Raw genomic sequence first — 20,842 nt, 5'->3', positions numbered from 1 at the left:
GGTCAAGAAGTGTTGAAAGAGCTTTTAAAATATTTATTCCTATGGTTTCAGATCAGAAAACTGATTCTCAGATGATTTTAGTCCTGATCTCTAATGTTCCAGATTGACTTCGCAGTGGAGTGGATGGTAAACTATTAGCCGCTCTTCTGATTAATAAACCTTCTCTCCAAATAGGATACCTGCAGGTTGCCTGGCACACAGGATAAGTTCAATGAGTTTTATTGAATGGATGAATTACTGAATAAGAAAAAAATGATGGTTAAAGGTAGTTAGATAACTAACATTGCTGAGTAATCACTCCTACGAAGTAGCATTCTGTAAAACTCTAATTCTGTATGTCTCCTAATACTGTTACAGACAGCTATGCTTGTCTCTTATTTGGGGGACTTTTTATGGCTTCTGGCATAAAGGAGAGATGGTGAAAATGATGCTCTGTCCCCATCCAATTGCTTATCCATCCCTTCCATCATTTATTCATGCCTTCAGTAATTTGGGTGCAGTTTCTACATGCTCACCAGGCCAGAGCACCAGGACGGGCCCTCACCCGGGCTGTAACACCATCATCACTAGTGTCCAATCCCTAGTTCTTCATGCTGGAAAACATTATCATTTCATTTCTTGTAAAGCATTCACTATTCATTAACACTCAGGAACTTGTGGGTCTTTTGTCTCTAGAAATTCTCCTGTTTTTATATGGGTTTTTTTAATGGCTGTTTATCAGTAACTTAATGATCATTTTAACCTATAGTACTTCTACTTGGGGAATTTATTAAATTTTATCTCGCTTCTTTAAGAGAGAGCTTACATTTTATTCACGTTTGTAATTTTTATGCCATCAACTGTGAGGTCTTATTCATTAAATTGAATTTGAAAATACCCACTGAGAATAATTTGCCGCTAAAGAATATATTTAATTACTCACTTATACTTTCTGGAATGAAGCAAAGAAATGTTAATAAACACTAATTTAAACTATAGAATAATTACTAATATAGTTGCCATTATTGTTATATGTGAAGATTTGAAATTAGCAACCTAATTTTAAATAAGAAAATCATTAGTACATATCAAAAAATATTCAAAAAGGAAAGATATCTATAAATGTCCAGTTTTATAATCAAGTTTTTATGACTCACAAGTTGATCCATTTAGAGTTGCTCTAGTATTCTCATTTCAGGAATAGAGAAGTTCCTCCATCTCTTTTTTTCTGATAACAAGAACTCTGATATCAGTTTCATAGGACATCGTGGAAATCAGGGAACACCAAGCTGAAGTGCCATGTGGTGAGATTCATCAGCCTCATTAATGCAAAACAGCCCATGTGTCATCTTTGTATTCTAAAAGCTGCAGGAAGATGACCTCCCAGTTTTCCCATAAACAGTCATGTGGAAAATAAGTCTTCTTTCTGTGAAGGAGAAATGCTTCTTTACCCCTCACAGGTACATTTAAATTATTTTGATACTAACCCAAGTTAAGTTTACTTTATCTTCAAAATGAGTTAGTGATGTTTTGGAAAAGAATGTTGGTGTGTCCACAAACTGAATTTGCATTTGCTAATTACTCTTTTCATACAGCGCTTAGTGGGTTTAAAAGCACAGCCAACCCTGTGCTATGCCAGGTCTCCCTCCACCTGGGGTCACCCCTCCTTTGAACTTCTGGGACACTCACAGTGTACACTGTCTGATTTAGACTGTATCAGGGGCTTTTCTCTATGTGTGAAATTGTCAGTCCCATCAGATGTGCGCTCTGTTAAATGCTGAGATTAGGTCTTAAATAATCTGTTTCCTCCATGCAGCAGACTCAATAAATCGATTACGTAGCTAAAACGTTATTCTGGAATACATCGTTCAGGTCTGTATTTTAGGAAGTCGCAACTCATTGTGAATATCGTTGAATGACATTAATGAGGAATATGGTGACCACTAATTTGAGTTACTAAAGCAGTTTCAAAACAAATTACGGAAGTATAAACATTTGAATGAGAAACCCATTATTTTAAAGATACTTGTTCTGAACTCTATCACAGGCCTTCAAACCTGTTTGCACATTGGAATCACCTTGTTGAAATACAGAATCTGGGTTGAGGTGTGTGAAAATATGATTAAGAATCCGTTCCTGAAAGTTCCCAGGCGATGCTAACATGCAGCTCCATTTGGGAACCACTGACTAGAAGTCTCACTTCATCCTTAATTCTCTTTTATCCCCCTAATAAAAAGAACTGTTTTTGGAAGACATCTGAATTACTTTGATTTAGCATCAGGACTATTTTACAAGGTGCAGAAATTTGATAAAAGGCTATTATTTTTTCATGGGACAATGGATTTAGAGGCTGTTAAATTTTGGTAATGACAAGTGGATACGAATTTGGTTTAACACACAAAAGCATAACGATAACAACAACAATAATAGTATTTTCTTAGCACTGAGACTTTTTCAGTTAAGTCTAATTGTCTTTCTGAGGATATCTATGATGCTAATCAAGCACCCTCTTGAGTTAAAATCTAAGCTTTATTTTACCAGCCAGATAAAACTATTGACTCAAAGAGCATTCAGATATTAGTCCCTGCTTTTTCAGAAATTCTGTCCATAGTCTAGAAAAGGAGTATATGGGGAAAAATGAGAATAACTACTAGTATTTACTGAGTAGCTAGGACATGTCAAGCATTAGGTTAGGCACTTCATGTGAATAATCTGTCTCCAATGATCACAGCAACACCAGGAGGCAAGGACCCTAAGTCCATTTTCTAGATCAGGAGACTGAGGCTCTTCGAGGTGCACACCTTGCCCAGTGCCCTGTGACTTGTAAAAGGCAAAGCAGTGATGAAAGAATTCATGTCTTTGAGACTCCCAAGAAATTATCCCACAGAGTTTTAATTCTCCAATCCATGATGATCTATCCTTCTTTTAGCTCTAGGACCTTACGATAGAAGAGAAACTTTGACACTTTGCGGGATAAAGGACAGCATTGGTTCCTGGTCTTCTCTGTGAAAACCAGTTCCCCAGGAGCTCTCTCAGTACTGAAAAGTCTCAGCCCCAACTCCCCCTTACCATTCTGATCCTGTCTTAATGGAACTGGACCAACTAAGTGATTCCATCCCCAGAGTAGCCTCCACCTGTCTTCATCCCAGCTTGAATATACAGTTTCCCATGCAAACCCTATTACGGATGCCACTGAATTCCATCTAGCTTGTCTCAGTGTCTCTGGCTGTCCCAATACCCATAGTTTTCCCACCCTCTGACCAGCGAATGTGACCTGCATGGAAAAGGAGAAAATAAAAGCAAAAGTGATCAGAGATGCCGGCTGTCCATCAGAAGGGAGCTGTTTGGATGATAATTTTTGAGTGCGCATTTAAATAAGCAATTTGGCATTACTTGCTATTCTTTACATTTAACTGCTCTTAAAATAGAAACAATATGAGTAGTCTGTTATTCTACCTTCTACCATATTCAAGTTTTGAAATGTAACATTCAAATTTCTTCAGTTGTCCTAAGGTCCCTTAGTAGAAAGAGGGCTAAGCTAAGCAAACAATCAGGAAGTTACTCAGAAACGTGGAAAGGACCAGGTAAATACCAAGGAGGTGCTCATGGGAGGCGATGGTTGAGGTTAGGATGGCTGAAGTGGGTGGATGCTACACGTCCACTGAGTTAAAGGCAAACACCTTTTCTTTTTATTTCTTTTTTCTTTTTTTTTTTTTGAGATGGAGTCTCGCATTGTTGTTGCCTGGGCTGGTGTGTGGTGGTGTCATCTTGGCTCACTGCAACCTCCCCGCCTCCCAGGTTCAAGCGATTCTCCTGCCTCAGCCTCCCGAGTAGCTGGGACTACAGGTGCATGCAACAACGCCCAGCTAATTTTTTTATTTTTAGTAGAGACAGGGTTTCACCATGATGGCCAGGCTGGTCTTGAACTCCTGATCTCGTGATCCACCTGCCTTGGCCTCCCAAAGTGCTGAGATTACATGCGTGAGCCACCGCGCCCGGCCAAGGCAGACAGCTTTTCATAGCCGCTTCTCACTTTCTTCTTGAACACCAGTCCATTTATTTCTCAAACCTAGGTTACTCCTGGCTTTCAAGCTACCTTGCACTAGGAACGTGGCAAGTCACGTAACCTCACTTGTTCTAGTTTCCTCTTCTCTGGGATGAATGGTGTTGACATAGATGGGCTCTATTGCTTGTTCCTAGATCTCAGTCTTTGTCACAGTTCTTACACAGGGCTAGTAACGGCTGGTAAGGGTTTGTAAAGGACTCATTCTGTGATACCTTTGCTCTGAATGTGAGATTTCTCTAAACTGATGATATTACAGGTGTTGATGTTTTCATTCTATGTGACTCGTTTCCTTTCATAAGAAAACATCCTCTCTTCTGTGAACAATGTCCACCACTACTTTAATAAAAACAGAATCATCAAATAGGTAAAAGTTCCCAATCTCACGAAGTGGCCTCTTTTTAAGTGTACTCATTTCTGTTTCTTAATTTTATTCATTCCTTCTATAGAAATGGTATGAATGGGTAAAAACATGCCACCTTACATGCTACAGTGGGGGATAAAAATCTAAAAGACCTGGTCCTAACCTTTAAAAGACTGTATCTTAGTAGAACTGATAAGACACATATGCCAAAAATATGACTAAAATGATGACTGTAATCGTCATTCGTATTCTGTAACAGCTAGCTGGCTGTGCAACTTGACAAGTGTGATGAGGTGCCCTCTGTTATTACTTTAGCAGCCACTAGTAAGGGGCTTCAGGCATAGCATCTACTCAATAAACACTTACAAACTGAGTAAAATATTTTCAACACTATTTTAGATGGCTAAGTAGCCAAAAAATGTTACTGCCTTCACAGACCACATAATTCTACAGAGTATGTGAGTCACATACTCATGAATTTATAAGCGAGGAAGTGTATGTAGAGCATCAGAGAGGACCACAAAGCAAGTGTTAGGAAGCCATGGTCATGTGAAAACACCACACAAACATCTGTATTTGTGCATAGGTGGCTTTTCTTCTTTCCTTCATACGCAGCAGCATTTAAAAAATCACACACGGTTCCCATACAGAAATGGAACTGGAGTTTTGAAATCTGATTGTACAATTTCCTGCTCCCCACATCTCATACCCATTAAGTCACCATGCATCTGCAAGGGCTTGTCTGCTGGATGGGTAAGTACGTCCCTGGGTACACGATAAGACGTAGTTCTTGATGTTCTTTGGAATAGGCATCTTAGTTTTAGAATTAGTTTATGATGAATACTACGTTATACATGGACCCAGGGGAAATACGACAGATTGTGTTAACAGAGTTCCAAGTTCCAGAGGAAATGTCAGGGGAGGGTTGGATAATTGAGTCCAATGTTCATTTCTGAAGGTCAAATGAAAAATAGTGAAACCACACTGATCTCTAACTCTGGATGTAGCCCTCATACACATCAGAACTGCCGTGCACTCAGCCGATTTTGTAGGCAGTTGGTGATACAGGTAATCAGGTTTCCCACGCCTTGGCCCTGCTGTGGACTCTGACGAGGTTTGAGAGTGATTTACGGTGAAGATGGCCCAATAAATGCCTGTAAACTGAAGTAAGGGAGGAGACTCGTCTACAGCAATGCCTGTGAGCAGACTTAAATCAGCAATTCTATTTCTCTGAAGCAATAAATCAAATTCCTGAGGAGGATGGCAGTAAAATCCCAGAGGACAATTAACTTGTCAGCAGTTCACATGACTTCGTCCTTTTACTGAGCTACACGCTAACTTTGTGATTAGATTTTGAACTATTAAGAAACTTTTGATTTAAGGAATTCAAGGTGAACATACTTTAATTAGAACTTCCAGATTACACTTAGGCAGTAAATCAACTACATTCATTCTCATATTCTTGGGTACTTTTCCCTTCTTTGGACTTTTTTACCTTACTATCTGGGTCATTGTCTTACTTTGCTGTTGCTGATGTCACAACCAAAAATGTTGTAACCTAAAACAATGTAAATTCATTATTTTACAGTTCTCTAAGTTAGAAGAACAACACAAGTCTCACTGGGCTAACCTCGAGGTATCGGCAGGGCTGGCTCCTTCTGGAGGCTTCAGGGAAGCATCCATCTCCCCACTTCTCCAGCTTCTTGAGGCCGTCCGCACTCCTGGGCTTGTGGTCCTGCTCCATCTTCCAAGCCAGCAACAGCAGATTGAGTTCCTCTCACTTAGCATCACCCTGAACTTCCTCTACTGTAGACAAGTCTTCCTCTTCCTCCCTCTGCTGTCTCCACCTTTGTGATTACCTTGGGCCCCCAAGATCATCCAGGGTAGCCTCCCATCTCTAGATCCCTAAGTGAATCAATCACATCTGCAAAGTCTCCTTTGCCATGTGAGGTAACCTAGTCATAGGTTCCAGAGATTTGGATGTGAACATTTTTGTTGGGGCATCATTCTGCCCAACCACAAGCATGTACCCGGCACTCACCACATGTGGCAGTTAGTTGGTGTGTACTTTCTCTACCTGTAAATCCCTGGATGGAGAACATGATTTTTTCTCTCTACATCTCTTTGCATTTCATCTGGTTCACTTAACCTGATCCCCAGTGTCTTAGTCTGTACAGTGTGGCCGTAACAGAATACCTGAGATGGGGTATTTATTTTAAAAAAAATAATAGGTGGGTTTAAGTCACAGTTCTGCAGTCTGGGCAGCTCAAGGCCATGGCCCTTGGTTCTGGCAAGGCAAGGGCTTTTGTGGTGCTGCGTCATAACATGGCAGAGAAGGTCAAAGCGTAAGTGGACACGAGCAAAGAGAAGACCAGAGGGGCCTCCTGGCTTTGTAACAAACCACTCTCATGGGACTATTCCATTCCCTGGAGAACTAATTCAGTCTTTCCAGAGTGAGACCTCACTACCATGAGAACAGCACCAGGCCGTTCATGAGGGATCTGCATCAGTGATTCCAACACCTCCCACTAGGCCCCACCACCCAACACTACCACATTGGAGACCAAATTTCATCATGGGCTTGGTGGGGAAAAGCCAACCATACCCACACCATAGCACCAGCCTGGGACCCAAATGCACCAATAAAGGGAATGAGAAAGCCTAGAACTGAACCATCCAGCAGTCAGATACCAAAGAGATCCAAAAAGTTAAACAATCATGAAGAAAAAGCGTTGAGAGGGTGAGACCTCAGGCAAGTTCAAGGCCAACAGCTGGCACCAATGTGGGAAGATGAAGCCTTGCATAAACATAAGCCCAATCGTTATTTCTCGTGTAAGGACTTGACAATTAGAAAAAGTGCAAAGATGGTCCAAACCTCCTAGATGATGCTTTCTTGCAGGGTGAACTTTGGTAAACACTGGGGGATGGAGGAGAGAGGAATCTGCCTTCCAGGCTTGTCAGGTTTGCTCTTAATCATCCTGAGAACACAGGGTCTAATGGAGCATCTGTTGGTCGTCTGCATGGCTGTGATATTTTACTTTATCATTTCCACCTAACACTTTTATAAGTATTTTTATTCTCCATAAAACAGGCTTTTAAGAGCATTTACAAATTAATCACATTAAAGACTTATTATCTGTTCTCTTATGATACACCTATTTTGATATGGTGTGAAGATAATTGTTATAATCTCTATTAATTACATACTGGCATTCATTAAATATGAAAATGTTCAATTGTTTGAAAGAAAATGACTGGCCTTTTTGAACATTAAAGAGTATTCTGTTTTATTGCATTTTTACACTAAATGATTAGGCAAAAAGTTTTTACTAGACATTAGTATTTTTATTTATTAAATTTCAGTCCCCTTAGAAGAACTCAAGGTATTAGCCAATTGAATTCAAACTTGTACCACTTAAAGATACAAATGTAAATAATCTGAGAAGGGAAAAACTAAGTATAGAGGGGGAGAGTAGAGAAAAGGCAGTAACACATTTAGACTTGAGGCAAGAACAGGTGTTTTTGTCTTAAGACACCAGCAGGGCTAGGCACTCAATAGATGCTCTCCAACCATTCGTGGCCCAGCGGAGTGAATTGAAGAGTGGGTTGGCAGTGTTGGGCGGGAGAGCAGCAAAGGTTGCTTCCCTGGCAAACCTGAGGAGGAGGAAGAGGAGAAGCAGCTGCCATGGCCACGTGGGAAGAAGAGTCAGGGACAGGCAGAGGGAGGTGCAGGGAGCCCCTGGGAGACAGGAGCTGCATCACAGCAGTCGAACACGAATTCAGCTCTGCCAGGGGCCCAGAACCCTGTCTGCTAGTTTGCCTGAGATCAAGAATGTGTGCAGAAAATTCCAGAAAATGCAAGCAAAAAATTAAACAGAATCAACTTTGTAGCCACCACCCCAAATAATTAAACAATATTTTAAAAGCAAGTAACATTTTATGATTTTTAAAAGGCATTAAATTACATTTGTTGGAAGGGGGATTAATTGCAGCAGAGTACGGCCGCTTGGCAATGACAAATGGAAACCCCACGTAGGACTTGATGCAGAGTAGATCTAATAGGGAGCCGCTGAAGTGATGTGACTTTGGGGATGCAGGGAAATCCCCTTTACTTAGAAAAAAATGACCTTTATTTATACACACATGTGCAAGTGTGAACACACGATCATTCACTACACAATGATTTTCCATTATTTTAAACTAAACAATGACTTGTTTTTCTGTTGAAGTGAAAAGGCCCCTTGCATGTCACCTGGAAAAGAAGGAGAGCATTCAAGGAAGGTTTGGGGAACTTTGTTACGCGTAGGGGAAAAAACAAAAATTTGTATCACTACCTCACACCATCAATTCCTAATAGTTTGTGTGGAAGGCAATATATTAAAACTCCAAAACGATAAGTGAATACCTTTATGATTCTGGGAATGAAATAACATCTTAAGAACTAAAAGCACTACCCATAAAAGAAATTATCGTTAAACTTGACCCTATTACAATTAAGAACTTCTGCTCATTAAATAATAGCATTAAAAAGGTGAAATTGCAAGACAAATATTGGGAAAAGACACTTGCCACACCAATAACCAACAAGGGATTTGGACCTAGAATACATAAAGGACTCTTAAAATCAATTTCTAAAAAAGACAATCTAATTTTAAAAATTTTTAATTAAAAAAAATTGGGCAACAAATACAAGCAAGAATTTCATAGAAGAAAAAACTCCAGTGGTCAGTGGAAATATGAAAAGATGCTCAACCTCCTTAAAAACATAAGTTTAAACTACAGTGATACAATTTAAAAGTTGGTGAGGATATAGATAATGGAAATCCTTACCCGTTATTGATGGCAAAGTAAATTGCCTCAGCAGCTTTGGAGAACAATCAGGCACTGTGTATTCAGTAAAGCAAAACACTTGTGTAGCCCAGGGGCAGCAACTCCACTCTTAGGCGTGTTCATTATAGAAACTTGCATGCATCTGGGCACCAGGAACTGTGCTCGGGGAAGTCCAGAGCAGCTTTGGAGACAGCCCAGAAGTCATTATAGAGAAAAATGGAATATTATACAGAAGTGAAGATGGCTGTGCCTACATACTATAGAGCATGGATGAATTTTAGAAACAAAATACTGAATGAAAATAAACATGTAGGCCAGGCGCGGTGGCTCACGCCTGTAATCCCAGCACTTTGGGAGGCTGAGACGGGTGGATCACGAGGTCAGGAGATCCAGACCATCCTGGCTAACATGGTGAAACCCCGTCTCTACTAAAAATACAAAAAATTAGCCGGGCGTGATGGTGGGCACCTGTAGTCCCAGCTACTCGGGAGAGGCAGGAGAACAGCGTGAACCCGGGAGGCAGAGATTGTAATGAACTGAGATCGTGCCACTGCACTCCAGCCTGGGTGACAGAGTGAGACTCCGTCTCAAAAAATAATAATAAAAATTAAAAATTGAAAATAAACATGTAGCAAAAATGAAAAAAAAATGTAGCCTTTTTAATTTAAACCCCAAACCAAGCAAAGCTAAGTAATGTATCATTCTTGAGATAGACACATATATATGTGCTAAAACTATTTTTTTAAAGGAGGTAATGATTAACCCAAAATTTCAGTGATGGAGGCCCTCTAGGGGGCAGAGGCAGGAGGCAGTGTTGGGAGGAGCAGGCCAGCAGACACCATGGTGTCGGTAGGTAACCTTCCAATTCCGGACTTGATGACTGGCTCACGAGTGATCCATTATGATGCTTTATGATGTACCTCTGTGTGTTAGATGTAGATTGTTTTGTATGTTTTAAATATTCCATAATTAACAATTAAATGTAAATACCCTGGGGGAGATCAGCCGCCGATCTTATCTGTCCATTTGGCTTCAGAGTGGTTTTGCTCAGCCGGCATTTTCCCCCCAAGAGGGTTTGAAGCCACAGGAGAGACGTTCATATATTTAACAGAGTTCACCATTTGACCATCTTGCTTAGGATAACTCAGAGTCTGTCTGTCCTTCCTAGAGATGGGCCACTACTGACTGCAAAGACGAGATTCCCTCTGTTTTCACATGTGTGGAATCATCAGGGTTTTTGTTGAGTGCCCTTGTTAGGGCCAGTTCCTTGGAAAAGGGTCCTATAGGAAAACCTAACCACGACCAAAGCGGAGAAGAATCATTCACCTCGCCCCTCAGAGCGCTCAGCCCACTGCACCCCGATGCTCCCGTGATCTTTGTCTGTTCTCCCTCAAAGCCACCTCAAATAAACATTCTAGAAAAGAAGCATTCTTGCCACCCAAATGCAACTTCAAATCCACTTTCCATCCAGGTGACTGCCCATCTCCTCTTCCCAGCTACTCTGCCCCGCCCCTATCAATGCCAGCCCCGCAGAGCAAAGCTGAGATTCGTCCGGGATGCTGTTCTCAGTAGACAAGCATGGAGTGCCAGGTATTAATACTGGCTTTGAAGATCGCAGGGAAGCAGGGCCAGATTCTCCTCGCCCTCACTTTACAATTCCCTCCTCCTCAGTTTTAAAGTGAAGAGAAAGAGGGACATGACACAACAAACATGCATGTGTAATTTTGTTGCACGTGTCTGTGCAATTTCCAGGAAGAGAAAAGCTTCCTGGAAAGCAGGCAGGCGATTTCAGTCCTGAGGCTGATGTGGTCTCACTCAGGCAACGGTTTCAGCCTCCCTGGCCTCAGTTGCACCATCTCTAAAACAGAATGGCATTTGCCTTGCCACCCTCCTCTCTGCTCTGTGGCCCTCACTGAGCTTCTCAAGGGTCAAGGACCAGACCTCCTTGATTTCTGTCAGGGCTGAATGCAGTGCCCAGGAGGGATGGAAAGAGAAAAGAGGAACGAAGAGAAGGAGAGAGGAGAGGGTGGGAGGCGGTTCAGTTGCAGCACTGTTGAAGAGCATAATACGGAGAAACTTTTGTGAACTTTGGAGAGTGTTCTGCAAATGTAAGTGATGAATGCCATTATTAAGGTCATTTACTGCTAATGATCGGCATATGCATATCAAAAACAGCTCCCAGCTCTGTAAGGCATTAGAGTGAAAGCAAGCAATTTTTTAATGAAACATTTATTTGCCTTCTTTTACTGCAGTGCTTTGATTTAATCGAAATAAGCAAAAATGGCCAATGATTATATCAACTTCTGAACTTGTTGAATCTACTTGGATGTTACTGTAACCCCCTAGGAGAAAAGGGAAGCAGAAATACTATGTATTAATGTTCTTAAATTTTCTTACACTTGTAACCCTTTTTTACTTTAGAAAAGTTTAAATGTGTGTTATACATATGCATAATTAATAAGGAACAGCTGCTTGATTTATATAATTAACCACAGTCAATCTAAAAATAAGTTTATTTAAATTAGTGTGAACTTCATAGCTAAAAATATTTGTGAAGAAACAGTTTGGCTATTTTTTTTCTCATCAAATGGGATGTTTGAAAATAATAAATAAAAGCAGCTCAATACTATTGGTTACTTTCTCCTATTTCTTCTTGAACATACCAATCGAATAAAATCACTTGAAAACTCTGGCAATGTTGAAGCTGATTAAATTTATTATTCAAGTTGAATTCCATAAGAATACGAAACAATCCGTTTCTGGAAGTAATTCAGTTACTGGCCATTTTTTCTCACTGAAATTTAAGTATAAGTTTTGAGCTCTAATACAAGTTCCAAGTTTAATATCAATTAATTGTGTATTTTTGCTACCTATGAGCTTTATAGGTGTACTTTAATAACTGGCTTTAAAAGATAAACCAAAAAAGATTAATTGCTTAAGCAAAATGGTGTGTTTCCAATTAGTGTCATCCTTTCTGTTAATTGGAGACAGGTTAATAAAACATGGGTCAGTAACACTACGACTTTTTTCCCCCAACATCCCCGAAATAAAATTTATTGTTCCACTAGGAAAATGTAAGCGGTGCATTATCTTTTCCTCAAGTGCTTAAGCATTATGTCCTGTGATGGATGGGTACGACAGGCAGTGGCGGGGTAGGCAAAGGAAGTGGGCAGGCTTGTTTCCAGCTGATGACCTTTGAAAAGTTCACGACCAGCAAACATTCATCCTGCTGCCAAAATAGCGGATGATTTCAAAGTCACGGTGTTAAGCGGGTTGCTAAGGAAGTGTTACGGTGGAGGCTATTGTGTAGCTGAAGTGGTTGTTATGGCCACTCTGCATGTTAGAAAAATGTCAATTATTCTGAAGAGGTTAGCAATGCTACCTGGCATCTGCTCCACAATGGTGATTATGATATCACCGTTCTTGTTGTAGCAACAAGCCAGTCTCTGAAATGTTTTCCAGAGGTTTGCATTTGTTGACTCCATTGACTATTTTCTTGATAATGTAGCTGGGATAAACTAGAAAACAAGTTTCCCCATGGTCAGCTGGAAATACTCATATTGCACTTGGACGGAGCAGATTGTTTCTGAAGAGGGCCAGTGATGAGCACCAGTTCCCTCCTTGCCCAGGCCAACAGCGTTTCACAGGACCCCTGGGATCGTCCTGATGGTTCTCTTCCAAACAATGATCTAGAAAGATGCCCCGTGTCAAGTTGCTTGCCTTTCGAAGGTCTTCAAATCATTGTTCCTCCATATCATATTCAGAGCTAGTGCTTTCATGCTGGTGAGCTCTTGGGGGATTTTTTTAGGACTATGAAAGAAACAAAAAACTAAAAAAAAAAAAAAAAAAAGAAAAAAAAGTAATAAAACTTAGAGCTATATTCCAGCCACCCAGAATGAGGAACTATAATTTTGTCACATTAGCTGCCACTCTGTTTGAGTAAAGAAAATAATCTTGGTAGCATCAGAGATCTGATTCAGCATCCCAGCCCTTCCTCCCTCTCCAGAAGCAGTAACTATCAGCTAGCAAATTTGGTAGTTCTTTTCCAGGTCATTTATTTTATATATATTATATACTTTTATATACTATATACATATAGTATATAAAATAATATGCATGTTATGTTTTATATATTTGTATATAAATTATATATAATATGTAATATATAAATATATAGGTAATAAATATCTATACATATTTTTATATATTATATATACATGTTTATTTTATATTTTTATTATATATACGTATATTCAAGAGCAATATTCAGTACTTTCATGCATTTTTAAAATACACATAAAATACATATTGATTTCTACATGTCCCTGCAATTTGTTTTCTCCTGTCAAAATTATCTTGAAAAGTAATTTCTATTATTGCAAATCTATTCCTAGCAGTCCTGTTATTTAATAGCCATTTTCAGAATGGAATTAAAATGAAAAGAAGGCACAAATGTTAAGATAATCACTTTCAAGTCGCATTCATTTTATCTTCCCATTTTTAGAAGTTCTTTCACTTTACATTGACTTTTTATTTTACTTTTTTTCCTATTTGGCTTTCAGAGGGAGCTAGTGTTTTCATGTGAAAGGCTTCTAATCACTGGGGCTTCTTAAAGAGGCTAGTGTCACACGTAAGTGAATTTTCCAGACAATTGAAATGTCAGATCTTTTTTAAATTGAAAAGTTTTGATGGAAGTCTTTCTGAAATAATGTCTTAAAAGCATCTCAGCTTTAGAAAAAAAAAAAGTTGAAATACTTGTTTGAATCATATGATAGTTGTAATACATGTTACTTTTACGATTTTCAGGGTTCAGGGCTATTTTTCACCATTGTAAATGACACCCTAAGGTTTTGAGTTCTTATGTCCAGATTTGACAGTTTTTCTGTCTGTTTACTTTTCATCACACTGACAGCCATTTTTTTCCCCTTTCATCAGTGGTAGAGACTCAGGAAACTCTCTTTCCTAATTCTTAATAGACTGTTATCTGGAAATTTTGACAATAAACTAATTAGCCCAAACTAATCTTTTATCAATAGTGAATTCGTTTATTGCATGCGCTTGAGTCAGGGGCCTTGTTTGTCTTTATTTTTTGTTCTTGGCTATATCTTGGTCAAAATAAGTGAACTCAAAGATCTGGACTTCTCTGAAATTTGTTTTGTGGAAAGAAAAATTAAGTATTTGTAAATTATATATTTTCAAGCTTATACTTTTATTGGAGAATATGGAAAAATATGAAGAAATAGGGTTCAAGTTGTTAACATGAGATATAGAGCAACATTTCAAATATAGCCTGTATAGCAAATTCATTGTTTAAGCGAGTTCCTTTAAGAATACAAAACAAGCCCTTTCTGGAAGTAAAATAGTTATTGGCCATATTTTCAGGAAAACTTTCTGTTGAACGTTATTTCAGATGTGGAAACATCTAAGAGGACTCATAATGTCAACATGCATTTCCCCAATAAGTAAACAAGAGAAATGACACTGACAAGAACAAGAAATGATTATTTCTTCTGCCAAAGTTGGAAGCGACCAGATACGGATGTGCGTATTTTAAGATCATGGTTTGTGCTGTTGGAGTAGGAATAAGTAAAAGCTCTTTAATTTGAATCTGAAAAGAAAATGAAAATTCAAAGGGATCCTTGCTTCACAGATCATTTCGGCAATCTATTTTTTAAAAATAATTCAGCATAAGGAAATGGTAAAAATGAGTTTGTTGAAAGAATCAATTATCTATGCATTATATTTTAAACACTCACTGGTAACTGATTTCTACGAAAAGGATGCCCAGCCAGGAGTCTCTGCATTTTGCAGGGAGTGGAGGCTGTTAGTCCATTTCCTAATGTGTACTTCCAAATGCTACATTGTTGCTGCTTCTACACTATTCTGTCTTTCGGATTTTTCACTCTGTCTCTTCCTTGCTCCCCCACCCCGCCCCCAAATCAACGGGCATAAACTTTCCTCACTTCCGCCCCTAAATTTGTTTTCTCAGCTAGATTTATTTGGAAAATAAAGTACTAATTAAAATATACAATGACAATAATCATCATCGTGGGACCATAGAGTTCGGAAGGGCCCCGGAGGTCACGCAGGCCTCATTTTTACAGACGAAGAGATAGCCCAGGTTGGGCAACTGGCCCTGGAAGCTGATAATGACCCCATGGCAACGCGGGCCCTGGACACAGGAGAGGAGAGAAGGCCACAGCGCGGAGGCCCTAGGACGCCGCATGGAGAACATTGGAGGCGATGTCTACAACAGGCACTAGGAAACAATGGGGCTTGGAAGGAGGAGGGAAAGTGTCAGGATTTCTCCTTCAATGTTTTAGGACTTTATAAGCCCTAAGAATTTAGGGCTTTACTCTCTCATATAGTAAAAATCTAGCATTTAGCCTGTTGCATTTAATAACGGACATGCATCCCATTTCAACACTGAAAATAATCCCCATAATGTTGAGTTTTTGTCAATACTGTAGTTTCCTTGTCAGGCTTTCTTCAAAAACACAATGCTTTATTCTTTGTACTTGCCGGTGGGGCTAAAAACACTTTGTATTGTTTAAATAGGGTATTATCAGAGTTAAACACTATTTTAGTTTCACGGAAATACGAATTTTTTAAGGTGAATCTTTTAAAGAAGCATTTCAAACACAGCAAAAGACAGGGCGGTGAAAAGACTGACCTTCAGGTGGGGCAGCAAGGAGGTTAAGTGCTGATGAGCCTGCCAAGGGAAGACCAACGCCCACCCCAGCCAGAGCCTTCTGGTGCCCCGGTCTCTCTGGCCTGTCTTCCCCTCATGCAGCCAGCTCTGCATCACACCGCGTAGGCCAGGGTGGCTCATCCGCCCCACAGGCCACCTAGCATTCATCCAAAATGTCGCTGTGGTTAGTTCTCGTGTAGGCAGAGGTGAGATAGTCCCCCAACTTCCCAATCCTGCCATCCAGCTTCCAACCTAAAGCCTGAATGACTTGAAGACATAGCAGGGCTTTTCATTTTTGCTTTTTGTTTTGCATGCTTTTTTTTTTTTTTTTTTTTTATCTTGTTAAACTGGAGATTTGACAGAGGTGAAATAAGGATTTTGGAGTGGATTTTTCTGGCCATTTTTGCAAATGTGTTATTTATTTTACTTAGAGAATTGTTGAGGAATGTGCGCTTTGAGGAAAGAAGTTTGATTTTCTGTGTCCTTCCCAGGTGTCTTCTCTTTGGGTCTTGCCTCCAAATCAGAACCTGGTTGTTGGCCGTGTGAGCCCTGGGTGACTCTGGTTATAGTGGAACAATGCAAACGTCTGTAGGGCTCATGTGAGCAGGAGCCCCGAGCTGGAAGGACATTTCACAGGGCAGTGTCTCTGTGTGGTTGAGAGGTTGATACCCTGTGTCATTAGGTGGAGTCCAACCAGATGTTATTTCTGGGCCCCCAGGGTTCTACATAAGGAAACAAAATGAAGTCAGTCCAGATTTCACTTTTTAAAAAACTATATAATTCCATAGCGCCCACGGTAGGCTCTCTGCATCTCTTTATGATTTAATAAACAGAGGCAGAGACTATTTGGTGCCCTTTCTTTCAGCCATTGGTTGCTCAAGGCACAACACATAAAAATATGAACAAAACATGGGCTCTGCCCTGAAAGCCTCATTCTCTAAATCCAGTCCTGCAATGGCAGTAACTGTCACTGTGGGCAAAGAGGGATGGAGCTCCGTCCCACCGGGGAATGGTGGCTGGGAGCCAGAGGGACAGGAGGGGTCCCAGAAAAGATACCGTTTACAGGATGAATGGGGGGACAATGGCCGGGTGGAGGCGCAGTGTGCTCACGTGCAAGGTGGCCCCGGGAGCACCTGGGGACAGGCCAGCGAAGCCTCCAAGTGCTCTTTTCTCTTGTAGGTGAAGTCTTGACCTCAAATGGTTCGAGAGTGAAATGACACACCTGTGTTTTAGAGACCTCACTGGGTTTAGAGACCAGCTTGAAGGTTAATGCCCGTTTTTAGAGCAGAGATGATGAGGCCTGAGCCTGGCAGATGACTCTCCCGGGAGGAGGGAGGCGTTCTTGAGTCGCTCCCCAGGCAGAATGGAGGGCTGCAGGCTGATGCGAAGGAAGGCAAGTAGCAGTCCAGGCTGGCTCCAGTGCTTCTGGGGTGGAATGTCAGGGCATGTCTCTAAGATCTTACAACTTACATCACTTCTTGAATAAAAGATTACCTCCTATACATAAAAGACTGTATATAGGGAACATCCTGGAAGGATCTAAAGAGAAATGTTTTATTTATGAAGTGGATATGGAGGTTGGAAGTCAGGAGGGAGATTTTTAGTTTCCATTTAACACCTTTCTGCTTATCTGATTTCTCTTTCCTTCTTTCTTTCTCCTTCTTTCTTTCTTTTTTTTTAAAAAGATGTTATTCTACAATTCCTAAGTTGCAGAGTACTGGGAAATGTGACATCATTTGATTTGATGCTTTTTGATTCACTGTAAGAGAAACTTCATGGAACTCATATGTAGTCCTGAGAAGACCTAACTCCTTTTTTTTTTTTTTTGCCCTTTTGCATTAGATTTACTTTCGTTTGTTTGTTTTCATTTGGTAATATTTGCACTTCTGTACTTAGGACTAGAGACGGAAGCTAGGTCTTGCCAGGACTTTTCTTAGAGCAGAGCATCTGTTTTCTTGAGATGTTAGTACATCTGTCTTGAGACGTTAATACTTTCCTTTTCAGGAATTACATTATAAAAGAAAAGGAAAATTACTTAATGGATTAAGGGTGGTATTTATAGCTATAAGGTACTTATATCTAAGAGTATCTTCCAAGTCTTTAGATATTATATTGTATAATTTATTTTATTTGTATTGTACACAGAAACTCACTAAGGCTAACTTGCCAGGTAAGTGGGCAGCTTAGTTCTCAAAACGGAGCACCAATGCCCTCTCTCTGCTCTATTCCATGTTGTAAAATGCCTAATAACTTTGGTTTAGATGTCAGATGCGTGCCTTTGTTCGCGGGCAATTTTGCTAATGTTTTCCATTTCTATCTGCATGTCATTTCCATGATTTTGTGCTTTCCAAGATTTTCACAGGGTAGAAAAAAACTATTAGCAATTAAACTTTTGTTGAATTTTAGTTCCGTGCTTGGCAGAGTGTAGGATGTGTGCAGCCAGAAGTCTGCATACATTCTTTTCTTTGGCAGACAAAGAGGAAGTGATTCTAGCCATATGCATCACTGTTTAAATTCACCAATACAAATTGCCCCAAGAGCTATACCCCAACTTTTCACTATTTTTCAAAATAGGTTATAATTTCAATAGACTACCTACTCTATAGTTCCTGTTGTTATTGTCATTGTTTTAAGCAAATTACTGGCTACCAGATAACACAGAGTCACTATAAAGCTGTGCTGTCCACCACAGCAGCCACCAGCTACATGTGGTTATTTAACTTAATTAAAATTAGATGACATGAAAAATTTAGTTCCTCAGCTGTTCCAGCCACGCAGCAAGTACTCAATGGCTCTGTGTGGCTAATGACCACTGTTCTGGACAGCACCATACTAGAACATTCCATCCCCACAGGAAATTCTAATGGACAGTGTTGGTCTAGAATATGCATATTTCATAAGCAGAGTTGAAATGGAAAAGCTTCTGATACACTTTGTAAAGTGTAATAAGAGCAAAGATGCAGTTTCATGTATGTTCTCTGTAGAATAGAATATAGACTAGTCATAAAAACTTCACATTTTGAAAGTAGGCACGTTTTACCATTTTCACTTTAAAGTGTAAATAATTGACTTTGCGGCGCTCGATGCTCTGGTCCATTTTGCTTGGCTTTCTTTTAGACAAAGAGAGGAAAGTTAGAGAATAACAAAGATGATTACGATCACCAAGTTCCTCTTATTTAATACTGCAAGATTTGACTCAAATTTAGGGGCAGTGCTGCTTTGGGTGGAGTTACAAAGTTAAATGCCCTTAAATGACATTCAGGGAAAAGTGATTTAAGAGGCTAGTCTTGATTTCCTGCCTTTCTTCCTAGTATTCTTTGAATTTCCAACCCTAGATTATCCTAATTTTTTAAAAAATATATGATACATTAAACTTCAAAAGTGCTTAGAAATACCATATGATAGGATTCTTCCTGTAGGTGTTCAAACGTTATTAAAAATATTGGATAATCTTTGATTTCCCTATAAATGCGAAAAATTCTAAGGAGCATTTATTTTAAGTGAAGGACACTTAAAATAAATTACTACCTTACGTTTTACACAAAAGTTACTCAAAATAGATCAAAGGCCTAAATGTAAAATCTAAAAGTAAAACTCTTAGAAGAAAACCTATGTGTATATCTTCAGGACCTCAGATTGCCCAGTGGTTTCTTAGATATGACACTTAAAGCACAAGCAACAGAAAAAAAAATAGACAAACTGGACTTCATCAAAATTAAAAGCCAAGGATGCTATCAAGAAAGTGAAAAAGCAACCCACGGGATGGGAGAAAATACTTGCAAATCATCTATCTGATATGGGTCTAGTGTACAAAATATATAAAGAGCTTTTACAACTCAACGATAAAAAGGCAAATAACGCAATTTACAAAAAAATGTGCAAAGGATCTGAATAGACATTTCTCTAAAGAAGACGTACAAATGGCCAATAGGCACATGAAAAAATGCTCAACATCATCAGTCTTTACGGAAATACAAATCAAAACCACAATTAGGTCCCACTGTACCACCACTAGGATGGTTTTTAAAAAAAACACAAAAAACGCAGACAACAAGGTGTGCTGGCAAACATGTGGAGAAATTAGAACCCTCATGCATTGCAGTGAGAATGTAAAAATGGTGCAGCCACTTTGGAAAACAGTTTTGCAATTCCTCAAAAAATCAAACATAGAGAGAGTGAATGACCCAGCAATTCCACTACGAGCTATATCCAGAAGATACATTCACACAGACACGAGGATTTGAATGTTCGTAGCAGCATTACTAATAATAGTCCACAGTGGAAAAAAATCCAAATGTCTATCAAATAATGAGTAGATAAACAAAATATATCCATAGAATGGAATACTATTCCAACATAAAAAGGAATGCAATTCTGACACATGCCACAGCATCGATGACTCTTGAGAACATTATGCTAAGAGAGAGAAGCCAGTCAAAGAGGTCCACACATTGCTTGATTCTACTTATGTGAAGTGCATGGAATATGAAGGCAAACTATAGAGACAGAAAGGAGGCTAGTGGTTGCCAGGGACAGGGTGCAGGAGGAATGGAGAGTGGCTGCCAACGGATGTGGAGTTCCCCTTGCGGGTTATGAAAATGTTCTTGAATTACAGAGTGGTGATGATTGCACAACCTTGTGAAGATACTAAAAACCCCTGAATTGTGTACTTTTAAAGGATGAATTTTATGGTATATGTATTAAATCTCAATGAAATATTTTTAAAACAAGTATACATTTACATAAACAACTCTTGGTTGCTCTCTTTAGTCCCCTAGTCTAACAATAAGCACTTTTTTTCGGTGCCACCTGACCCAGTCTTTTAGGGAACTTAAGGCAAAGCAAAAAACAAAAATCTGATTAGAACAAGTGTCCAAGTGAAAGGATAGTAGCAAAATCCAAAAGCCCGTTTTTT

The 20,842-nt window shown here is 39.5% G+C and overlaps 1 protein-coding gene and 1 long non-coding RNA gene across 4 annotated transcripts in view; one reads left to right on the top strand and one right to left on the bottom strand.

Annotated features, from left to right (window-relative positions):
* Positions 1 to 20,842, top strand: part of PDE10A (phosphodiesterase 10A) — a 660,764-nt gene that overhangs the window by 200,135 nt on the left and 439,787 nt on the right. The gene's annotated exons all lie outside the window — the stretch shown is intronic.
* On the bottom strand, positions 8,519 to 9,324 carry LOC124901458 (uncharacterized). The gene is made up of 2 exons (XR_007059863.1): positions 9,237 to 9,324; positions 8,519 to 8,658 (listed from the first exon to the last, which is right to left on the bottom strand). It is a non-coding gene; the product is annotated as an uncharacterized LOC124901458 (long non-coding RNA).

The sequence above is a fragment of the Homo sapiens genome, chromosome 6, assembly GCF_000001405.40.
Source record: "Homo sapiens chromosome 6, GRCh38.p14 Primary Assembly".
NCBI lineage: Eukaryota > Metazoa > Chordata > Mammalia > Primates > Hominidae > Homo > Homo sapiens.
This window is presented reverse-complemented; position numbering and strand designations above follow the sequence as displayed.